The sequence below is a fragment of the Homo sapiens genome, chromosome 8, assembly GCF_000001405.40.
Source record: "Homo sapiens chromosome 8, GRCh38.p14 Primary Assembly".
Lineage (NCBI taxonomy): Eukaryota > Metazoa > Chordata > Mammalia > Primates > Hominidae > Homo > Homo sapiens.
This window is the reverse complement of record NC_000008.11, coordinates 100,374,350-100,386,005: the sequence shown is the minus strand read 5'-3', so window position 1 is coordinate 100,386,005 and position 11,656 is coordinate 100,374,350. Positions and strand designations below refer to the sequence as shown.

Sequence of the window (11,656 nt, the reverse complement as noted above, 5' to 3'; positions counted from 1 at the left end):
TATCCTCCCATATATGAGTATTTTGAAAGCATTTTTATTGAGAGGTATGTCATATGGTGTAAAATCCACCACGTTAAAGTGTACACTTCAGTGGGTTTTAGAACATTCACTATATTGTACAACTATTACCACTTTCTAATTCCAGAACATTTTCTTCACTCCAAAAAGAAACCAGTATGCTAAGTGAAATAAGCCAGCCACAAAAGGATAAATATATACCGTAGGATTCTCCTTATATGAGGGGAGTTGTCAAAGTCAGTGAGACAGAAAGTTGAATTGTGGTTGCCAGGGGCTGTGGGGAGGGAAGAATGGGGAGTTACTGTTTAATGGACACAGAATTTCAATTTCTAAGAAGAAAAGAGACACGGAGATGGCAGGTGGAGATGGCTACATACATTATAAAGGTATTTAATACCACTGAAGTGTCTACTTAAATGGTTAAGTTAGTAAATTGTATGTTATGTGTATTTTACCACAATAAAAATAATTTTGGTAAATACCACAATGAAAAAAATTGGGAAAGGAATCCCTGTAGGTACCTTGTAAATAGTAAAATATTATTGAATCATTTTTGCTAATAGTTTTCATTTGTTAAATGTAAACATTCAAAATACACCAAGTATTAAGAAAAAAAAAGGAGCCCATAGCTATTAGCAGTTATTCTCCATTCTCACCTTCCTCCAGTTCCTGGCAGCCACTAATCCACTTTCTGTTAGATCTCCTTACTGAGGACATTTCATACAAATGGTATCATACAATAACATGACCTTGTGTGTCTGGCTTCTATCACTTAGCATAGTGTTTTCAACATTCATCCATATTGTAGCATATATCAGTACTTCATCCCCTTTTATGGTGACATATGTGGGCTTTTTAAAGTAGATTCCAGGCTGAGAGATAAGAGTCTTTCCCTCCTAAGGTTTCCTCCTGGAAGTAGAGCTTAGGCATATCTGAGCTGGGGAGCACACAGGTCTAGGAGGCTTCATTGTACGAACTCACCACGTGGCCCAAATGTTTTGCCCCGTACAGGCTCCCTTTTCCCTCTTTAGTGGGAGAGGCCCCATAACAGGGGGCCCTGCTTTCAGACTCAGCTGGGATACTATGACCCCTGGTCAGGTCTTTAATAGTGATATAACTCAGAGATGTCATGGTACCAGTGGCCACTCTGTAACTGGTGCTTTTGCTTAAATATAAACACGTATCACAGAGGAGAAATTCTGCTAGACATTCTGCTAATTGCAACTGAATGTAGCCTGTGATAACCAAACCCACTCTTCTGAAGCACGGTTCACTTTGGAGCATACCCTGTTGCACATGCCGCTTGGAATCAGAGGTAAACCAGACCCATTTAAGCTATGGCTAAATATAATGTGCTGCCTTGCTGCAGAGCCTGGGGAAGCCTGGCGGTGGGTCATGTGGGGAGGGTGGGCCACTGCTCTATTTCAGCAGGAAGTTGCTGTGCTTTCCTTGTTTTATAAAATGTCCCCAAATATGGAGGCTTTATAATGGGTAAAGCAGTGATCCAGCTGGACTCATTCTAGATATGCTATGATTTATCACCGTATAAAGGGGTAAGAAAGATCACTTCATGTTTCAAAGCACTGATCTCTTTTAGGAAGTTACACTGGGCATTCAAAATTTTTGTGTAATTTTATTTCTTGCTTTTTTTTTTTTTTTTTTTTTTTTTTAGATATAGGGTCTCTCTCTGTCACCCAGGCTGAAGTGCTGTGGCACAATCATAGCTCACTGTAACCTCAAACTCCTGGGCCCAATTGATCCTCTTACCTCAGCCTCCCAAGTAGCTAGGACTACCAGGGCATGTCACCATGCACAGCTAAGTTTTGGTTTTTCAAAAAAATGTTCACAGTGACAGGATCTCATTATGTTGCCCAGGCTGGTCTGGAACTCCTGGCCTCAAGTGATCCTCCCACCTTGGCCTCCACCAGCATTGGAATTACAGGAGTGAGACACTGTGCCTGATCAATTTTCTTTTTTATATGTGTTACTTTCTACAATTTCTTTGCTAGCTGACTTTGAAGATTCTTCTTTGGAATAGATGTGATGTTCAGGAACCAGGAGGATTTTCCTCGTCCAAGTTCATGGGTAATTTGGTGGGTTTTCTTGGAGAGTTTAAGTAGAATTTAATTGTGAATATTTGAGTGTTTGAGATAGGGAGGGAGGAGATGGCCTGAAGGATAGTCACTACTTACTTGATGGCAAGACATAATTAATGGGAATGTTCAGCATTATTTTCCTCTAAAACATGAAGTTCTACATGATTCTTATATGAACGTGGGCTGAGAAAGCATGCTGTGTTGTGTACATTATCTGGCTTCAAGAATTCATTATAATGAGATCAACAAAGCATGAGTACTGCCAGCCATGCACTCAGTGGCACCCACTGTTGTTGGGCTGATATACCTTCTCATTGCCACTTGCCTACCTCCAATTCTAAAATGCTTTTTTCAGCCTCTCTTGCAGCTAGGAAAAACATATGACATAGTTACACATACAAAGCTTTTACTTTTCTGATAAAAGGGGGAAATATTCCCAGTGTGACCCCCTTCTTCTCCTCTTCCTTGAAAGTGGTGTGATGCCTGGAGCCACAGCAGCCTTCTTGAGGCAGTCATCTTGTTATGATAAGGAAAGGCCAAGAGAACTGTCAAATTGTTAGCTCTGGCATCACATCACTGAGCTGATGAATCAGCACCATTGTTGTACTTTTAACCTTCATGTTGTTTGAGAAACATAAACCCCTATTTGTGGAATTTACTTTTAGTCAGAGTTTTGCTAACAGATATAGTTCATGGAAAGAATTTTGCTTTACTAGTATTTACTCTAATACGTCTACCTAAATATCCACCATGTCCTCTTTGTCTCTCTCCCGTATATTTCAGCACTGCCTAAAGTCTGTATTTATTGTTCCCATGGTTTTTCATTTTTATTTTTTTTTCTGAGATGGAGTCTCACTCTGTCTCCCAGGCTGGAGTGCAGTGGCGTGATCTCGGCTCACTGCAACCTCCACCTCCCAGGTTCAAGCAATTCTCCTGCCTCAGCCTCCTGAGTAGCTGGGATTACAGGCATGCACCATTAGATTTTGAAAATGAAACTTACTCATAAATATATTTCTTTCAAAATGAATTTTATAACTCTTTTCCCTTCAAATTTAAAACTTAAACCTCTACTAAGTTCCCATGGGTTCTTTTCATGGAAACTTAGTAGAGGTTTAAGTTTTAAATTTGGAAGGAAAAGATTTACAAAATTCATTTTGAAAGAAATATATTTATGAGTAAGTTTCATTTTCAAAATCTAATGTGTGATCACTTCATTTAGATTAAACTGTTGCCTGGTGCACTTGCAACCCACACATGGCAGAATTAGTTGGTGTGGGAGAAGGAAAGGGAAACTCTGACTGCATAGGGTCAAAAGCTGTTTGATGACAGGTCCGTTTGTGCATAAGGACAATACTTTTAGAAACCCATAACCTTAGCAACCTCAAATGCCAAAAGCAGAGTGTGAAATAACCAAACTAGAAAAAAAAATGGAGGCCTTATTGATCTTCATCGCACTAATACACCCTTACCATTTTAAAGAAAAGTATACTTTTTAGAAGAAAAAAGAAACCTATGTTTTTAAATTTTTTTAATTACTCCCTTGAACATGTGTGTGTGGTTTCTTTAGGAGAGTCTGGGTAGTTGACATTGTTTTGTCTACTAAGGATATGAGTCTATTGTATCATGTAATTTCCTGTTTATTAGGACCCTTGGGGGAAAATTTCTGTCTGCTCATGGGAGCCCAAATATTTGTAACTGAGCAACAGGTTTATTTTAATCTCATGAATATTGTAGGTGATTTAATTGTCAATGGGCTGCTTATTTTTGTTTTCTTGGTTGCTTTTTAAAAAAGTTATTTAAAAAGGTACACAAGTCACATGACATTAGTTCCTATTAAAAAAGATTGAGTTAATTCAGTCAGATTTTTATGTAACATCCAAGAGTGACTCTGTCCCATAATACACCCTCTGCTTCACTTGATGTTTTCTAGCGTTGACTCAGGATATGCAGTAGTAACTAACATCACATGAATTTTCAAAATTGCATTTATTTTTAGCACCAACTTTAAGGATTTTTATTATGACAATAGAGGTTAATGAGCATTTTCACAAGATAAACAAAAAATCCCCCCAAATATGTAAGTGTTTTAACATAATGATTGCAGTTTATTTTTCACTCAGGTCAAATCCAAGATGGGTGTTCCTGATCTGCCTGTAGCTCTCCTCCAACCCAGACTCCTTTCAAACTGTGCCTCCACCATCTTCAATATGGAGCTTCCAAGATTGCCCTGCTGCCCTGCATCAAGCCTGCAAAAGAGGATAGGGGGTCAGGCCACTCATATTTCATTGGCCCAAATTCAGTCACATGGCCACACTCACTGCAAGGGAAGCTGGGAAATGGAGTCTAGCTCTGTGCCCAAGAAGCAAAGAAAAACAGATTTGATGAAGACTTAGTCAATCTCTGCAACAATGAAACAGATAAGAAGGCAAAAGAAAAAGAATTTTACAACCTGAGGAGGGAGAGAAAATTCAGTTAACAAAAAGATAGACTACATGCCAAGGTAGTCTGCAGAATTCTACCTACCCAAATTATGTGTTAAATTGTGAAAGAAGTTATGATAAAAATAGGATGAGGGTGAAATTTGAAAAATGCTCTGGGGACACATAGCACACTCCTTCCCTGGTGACACAGTAGGCAGAACCAAGCCAACTATAAAAGGAAGCTCAGTGTGTTTAATCTGTTGCTCGGATAAAACCATCCTGGAAAAACTCCCAGTTTTACAATCTAACTGATCATCAGTATCTCAGTTATACAAATAACTCCAGCCTGCATGAAATACCTTCTTGCTCCCCTTGACTTGTAAAAATAACTTTGTTTCAATGGAAAAGGTGTAGAAAATGGACGTTGAAGCCAATCAAACTCATAGTATCAATACTTTGTGTTAAGCTTTAGGAGTAAGTTTTGTAATCATTGCAATCAGCTTGTTTTTGTTATTTAAGCAGCTTAAAATGATTAAGATAATCTGACATATTAGCCTTACGATTTTATTTTGGAATGATAAACTAATACTCAATTTGTAATTTTCACTTGAAAGTTGCAGAATAATTGAATATGTTCTTTAAAAGTGTTTGAATATTCAGAAGAATCTAATTTACTACATGTATAAACTAGTATTATTACAAGAGTTCATTGAGATATTGAAGGATTTTTCTTGCTTTGTTTGTAAATGTTGCCCCATCAGGCATTTGAAGTGTTTGAGAAAGTCAAAGTTATTAAATTTGTAAAGATAGTTAAAAATATTTTAGGAAATCTTTTTACATGTATAAAGATGGTCAGTTTGAAGAAATTTAATGTTTTTAAGTTTGTAAGTTGATTGAACACTAATCAAACAAGAAAAGCAATTGTTCTCATTTTTATATAAAAATCACTATATTTACAAATAAAATAACCAGGTTTATAGACTAAGCTTGAAGGCCTAAAACACATTTTAAGTGTAAGGGCCAGGGGTAGGGGGGCAACAAAGAGCAAGAAGCCAAGAGGAGCTAAGAAACCGGAACCTGAGCTGCAGTCCCCAGAGGAAGGGACTTGCTTGGAAGTCTACTTCCTCCCAGAGGTAAGCTGTCGAGTCATATGGGAAAGAGGTAGTGAGACTAATGGGCAGAATCAGGGTCATTCCTGGATTTCTGTCTAAAACAGGGCAAAGAGGAGCAGGGGTAGGGCCCAGCAACAGGATATGGGTCTGACAGAGATTCAAGATGGGTAGCAGGGCCCTGTGTGGACAGAGGGTGCACATAAGAAGACGTAAGAGGACAATGGAGAGGCTACACCATAATGGAGATGTCTGGCCACTTGGTGCTGAGATAGAGAGCAGAACAGACACTAAATAAGGCCAGTGTCCCCACCACCAAGGGACAAAGGGACAGGAGAAGGAACAGAGAGGCCCTTGGGGAAGTGGATGCTCTTGAAGAACAGGTGGAATAGACACCTGGCGTCTTGGTGCCTATCATGTGATAATCATCTTAACTGTGAACCCGGTGAAGGACAGGAGCAGCTTATATCAAGTTCTGAGGTGTGGGGGTGGGGATACAGTGCTCCAGTATGGGGTGTGGAAAAGTGGGGCTACATTGACAGCATCACAGGACTCTACCATCTAGATGACAGTAATGCCCCTCCCCAACTCATGAAAATCAAAACTATCTCCAGAAATTGCCACATTTCCCCCCAGCCCCCAGGGGTGACAAAATCGTCTGTGGATAAGACCCACTGCTCTAGAATGTAAATGCCATGAAAGCTGGAACATTTTCTAACGTATCTTCAGCAACCCATAAGTGACACTGAATAAGTATTTGTTGAATAAATGAATGAATGAGTGGGTTATGAATCATAACAGCAATGGAAGAGCAGTGAGAACATGACAATCAAATCCCAAAGCCTTCCTGGATTAAAATAAGTGAGAATCAATTGGAATAAGACAGAATCAAGATAGCTTTATCCTTAATAAAGTTAAGAAAGAAATAATGGTTTGTTTATACTTAAAATTTTAAATTTTTCTGGTTGGGACATTGATTTATTTCCTCATGCTAGTAGTGAGTATATACTTATCATTATAAATATAATTTCATACATTTAAACACAGGCATGTTTCTTCTCTGGGGTTCTTAGCATTCCAGTTGGAAATCCATCTCTATGTTAAGCACAAAGCTCCATATGTCACTTAAGTGAATGGACCACCAATCAACTAGTGATAGCAACAAGAGGCAAAGGGCACAGAGTGAAGGAGGAAGAGTACAAAATGCCTTCCCATTTTCCCCAAAATCCCAGAATGCAATCGCCATATCTCAGAGGAACATCTGGTTGAATTGGGAGGGTGGGTAAGATTTTGGAGGATCTGGGAGGCCAGGCCAAGGAGTTGTTTTAAGGTAGTGAGCATTTGAGAACCATGAGAACATGTGGAGCACAGTCAGATGTTGTCAATCGTGCCTTAAGAAGATTCTGCAGGCAGTGGCGGTCAGGGAAGAAAGTAGAGGAGAGAGATGCACCAGGCTGCCTATGATGAGATGTGCACCAAGGAAGCTGGCTGCTTGACTTCAGAGCCAAGGAAATGGAGTGTGGACATTACTGCAAAGCTGGACTTCTGTTAAGGACAGAGCTTTCACAATGCTTACACATTGTTGGTTTACAATTCCCTGAATTTAGCAATGCTTGATGATAATGGAATTTACTTTCCTATTGAAACAACTCAGAGAGGATTACTAAGGCAGGGTCATGAAGACCTGGACAAACTGACCCTCTCACCGCCTTGGATAGCCTTGGCCACTTGAGTCAAATCCAGTGTTATCTGGGAGTGAGGGATTATTTTGTCTCAAGGGTAATCAGCTTTAAGGCAAGATTCTAGGAAACAACCTTCACTTAAAATTTTCTTTTCATTAAGATCCAAAGAATAATTTTCAGTGATTATGAAATTATAGTCTCTTATCTTTGTTTCTTTGATTTTTATAACATTATGGCAGAAAATGCCAGCAAATCCCTTATATCCATTCTTCCTTTCTCCCTCATAGCAGAATCCCTGGTTTATCAGCTGGGAATGTGGAAATCCAGACAGCAAATCTCATTTTCCAGATTCCCTTGCTAGCTAGGTGTGGCCCTATTGCTAACTACTTCTTCTTTTTTTTTTTTTTTTTTTGAGACAGAGTCTCACTCTGCCACCCAGGCTGAAGTACAGTGGCACAATCTTGGCTCACTGCAACCTCCAGCTCCTGGGTTCAAGCAATTCTCATGTCTCAGCCTCCCAAGTAGCTGGAATTATAGGCGTGCACCACCATGCCCAGCTAATTTTTATATTTTTAGTAGAGACAGCGTTTCACCATATTGGCTAAGCTGCTCTCAAACTCCTGACCTCAAGTGATCCGCCTGCCTTGGCCTCCCAAACTGCTGGGATTACAGGCATGAGCCACCGCACCTGACCTGTTGCTACCTTCTGACTAATGACATGGGGGCAGAAGTATCACATGGAAGTTTCTGGGAACCTTCCTTTAAAGACACCCTGTGTCTGCTCTTTGCTCTCTTCCATCTTGCTGATATGGCCTCCCGGGACATGGGAAGCAGGCTCTCCTAAGGATGGCGGTGGGGTAGTGGGGTGGGGGACCTGGCAAATCTGCCATGCCAGTCCTTCACATGAGACAGAAATAATGCCATATTTTGTGTAGGCTTCTCTTTGGGATGTTTTCCATTACTTGCAGACAAACTCATCCTCAGTAATACAAAAAATAAAATTATATTCTATAGTATGATCTCTCACCTACCCTATTAAAAATGTTTTGTAACTTCTCCTTACTCATTCTTTCTTCCTCACAATTTGTCCCACATGTAGTTGATAAATGATCTCTGAAAGTCCCAGCTGAATCATGTCACCCACACCCTGCCACCCATGTTTGCGAATCTTCAATGCCTTCCCATTTCCCTCAAACCAAGTGACACTTCCTTGGCCCAGTATAGAAGGTCTCCATGAGCCGCACCCACCCTGCCTCCCCAGCCTTCTCTCTACTACTCCCTCTGCTTGGTTGGGACTGCCCTTCTCCTTAAAAAGGAAGCTGTCCCCACTTCTGCCTGTCAGTGTTCTCTACATCTTTCAAGATCCATCTCATTAGCCAGGCATGGTAGCTAGTGCTTGTATTCGCAGCTACTTAGGAGGCTGAGGTGGGAGGATCACTGGGAGGTTGAATCTTCAGTGAGCTATGATCATGTCACTGCACTCCAGCCCAGGTGACAGAGCAAGACCCTGTGTCTTACAAAAAATAAAATAAAATAAATAAATAAGTAAATAAACCTGTGAAAGTTGTATTTGCTTTGTTTCCCCACCCCTCACACTTCCCGGGCTTTACTCATCTTTGACTCAGAGGGTGTCTGTAGCTCTCCCCTGGGAGGGGAAATCCACCCAGGAGTCAACATTACTACTTCTCTAATTGGGCCATCTCCACAGTATTTCCTTTCCTCTAGTGGCTTTCACTGAAGGTGTCATTTTTCTGATCAGTCGTCTGCCATTAGCACTCACCAGGTCATATGTCTTTCCTGTTAAACTAACTCTGGGTTACCTATACCTACTACCCTATAAAAGTTTCCCTCTTCTTTTTGATTTTGAGTTCTATTACAAAGTCTCCTTCTATGAACTTAGCCTGAGGTGGCACCATGTCTGACCCCTTCTTCCTGACCTTCCCACTCAACTGCAGAATTCTGTGGGTTGGGATGGGGGAATCCAAGACAGTCTCTCCAAACTAGAACTGACAGGAAAATGTTAACAATTCTTGGGCCAGATTATCGTGATACATGGTAATCACTTTACATGTATCATCTCGTCTCTCCCAAAAACCATAAGGTCACATAACTAGTAAATGGTAGAACCAGAACTCAAACCCAGGCAGCCTGCCCCCAGCACCCTTGCACTGTAATGTGTTATCTACTCTGCAAACTCAAGGCAGTATGCCAATGTCACATACGGACAGTTTAGTCCCAGAAGGAATCACTTCTTCCCGAACCTCTTTTGCGTATTTCTATTTTTATAGGAGGTGTTTCCTAAAGCCACAGAGAATGTGCAAAAAATGAAATCAGATTCTTTTTAAAGAAGCTCACAAGGAACAAATGACTCTCGTTCAGGCTGTTCCTCTCTTTGATCAACATCCTGGCAGGAAACATTGCCTGCAACAAGCAAAAGAGACTTGAGAAGCAAGGAGTGTTTGCCCTTGCCTATAACTGGGTTTCCTGTTTTGCTTTCCAAAATTTTCATAGAATTTTTTAAGTCCTTTTAGGAAAAGTTTTTTTGTATTGTTTTTTTTTGTTGTTGTTCTTTGTGTTTTTTCCATGAGACAAGATTTATGTTGGTGAGTGATCAGCCACAGAAATCGTGCAGGATCAGCTTGAGTTACCCAGATATAAACTCTGTTACCTCCTCACTGAAGCCTATTCTGTGCCTCTCATCCATCCACTGAGAAATATCCAGTCCTTCCTTTGTGCTTTCACTGTGACCCCCACATATTCCTGTGGCACTTTGTCAAGCTTGGTTGTATATATGCCTGTTACTCTGCTAGACTGTCAGCTCCTTGGAGGCAGGAACTATGACTCATCTGTTTATCTCAAGGTGCCTGGCACATAATAGCCACTCAACAGATGCTAATAGCATGAATGAGAAAACAATGACTGCTTGAAGGGTGTCAGTATTGATTGAGTACCTCCTTTGTGACAAGCACCATGCAGGTGGCTTGCACCCACATTTCATTTAATTCTCACAACCCAGCTGGGCAGTTACTGTTATTCTTCATTTTTCAGATAAGGAAACAGCCTCATGGAGTTAAATGCATCACCCAAGGTCAAGGTCCCACAGGTGGTAAACAGGAGCCAGGAGTCAAGCTCAAGTGCTCTTTCCCATTCTGTCTTTTGCCTCCTTCCTTAAAGTAACACGTGAAGGAAGTCAGCAACTTAGAAGGACTGCTGATCCTTACAGCTACTGGGCAACCTTGAAAAGCTGTTTCCTATTTGGAATGGTGAAGCTTACTTTTGGGTGGTCCTGACAGAATGAGATTATAGAGACAGTAACTGCCTTGATTTTCTGTGATCTTTCCTAGAAATAGCAATATGGAGCAGGGAAAGGAAGGCAACTAGGGGGTATGCTAGGCCAGGGTTCAAATCCTACTTTTGCCACTTAGTGGCTATGTGACTCTGGCAAGGCATTCAACAGCTCTATATCCCTTATAGATGGACAATCACACTTACTGGATAGGAGAGTGAAGAGTAAATCAGAAATTTCAAGGAAAGTAGCTAGCACACAGTGAATGCTTCATAAAAGATAGTGTTTTAATTTATTTATTTTTATTTTTATTTTTGAGACAGAGTTTCACTCTGTCACCCAGGCTGGAGTGCAATGGTGCAGTCTCGGCTCACTGCAACCTCCACCTCCCAGATTCAAGCAATCCTCTCACCTCAACCTGCTGAGTAGCTGGGACTACAGGCACGTACCACCACACCCAGCTAATTTTTGTATTTTTAGTAGAGAGAGGGTTTCACGATGTTGGCCAGGCTGGTCTTGAACTCCTGACCTGGTGATCTGCCCGCCTCGGCCTCCCAGTGTTGGGATTACAGGCGTGAGCCACCGTGCCCGGCCAAAGGTAGTGTTTTTAATAGAAGGGTGCCCATGAGGTGCTGTGTTCCTGTGTCAGTGGCCCCAGCTAACACCCTCTAGCCTTACCAGGCCCAAGGCATGTGGCACAGCTCTGTCCCTTCATGCCAGGGTTCCCTCCGACCGGAGAGGGAATCTTTATCTACCCAAGTGACAAAATCCTCTATAAGACACCCTCCCTGAACTCCTTTAACCACTTTAACCCTGCCGCATGGTTTGTTTGTTGTTAGTTTGGTAGTTGGTTGACTGGTTGGTATAAGAAAGATCTTGAACTCTTGGCACAGGCCAGGGGTCCACAAACTAGAACCTACAGGCCAGCCACGTTCATCCCTCCCCCTGGTTTTGTGTGGTTCATGAAATAAGAATGGCGTTTACATTTTTGAAAAAAAAAATCAAAGGAAGAATATTATTTCATGACACACAAAAAACTGTATGA

The 11,656-nt window shown here is 41.1% G+C and overlaps 1 long non-coding RNA gene and 1 other non-coding gene across 2 annotated transcripts in view, besides 1 other annotated feature; both read right to left on the bottom strand.

The window, feature by feature from the left end:
* MIR4471 (microRNA 4471) lies at positions 3,161-3,243 on the bottom strand. Its single transcript, NR_039681.1, has one exon. It is a non-coding gene; the product is annotated as a microRNA 4471 (primary transcript).
* Positions 3,333-3,432: an enhancer, noted in NCBI's record as "active region_27692". NCBI's record gives its function as "activates an Ori minimal core promoter by ATAC-STARR-seq in GM12878 lymphoblastoid cells {active_cell/tissue: GM12878}" and the evidence as "EXISTENCE:reporter gene assay evidence [ECO:0000049][PMID:35858748]".
* Positions 4,082-11,656, bottom strand: part of LOC124901991 (uncharacterized) — a 45,617-nt gene continuing 38,042 nt past the window's right edge. Inside the window, exon 2 of the long non-coding RNA XR_007061030.1 lies at positions 4,082-4,360. This is a non-coding gene — a long non-coding RNA (uncharacterized LOC124901991). The remainder of the gene's footprint in view (positions 4,361-11,656) is intronic.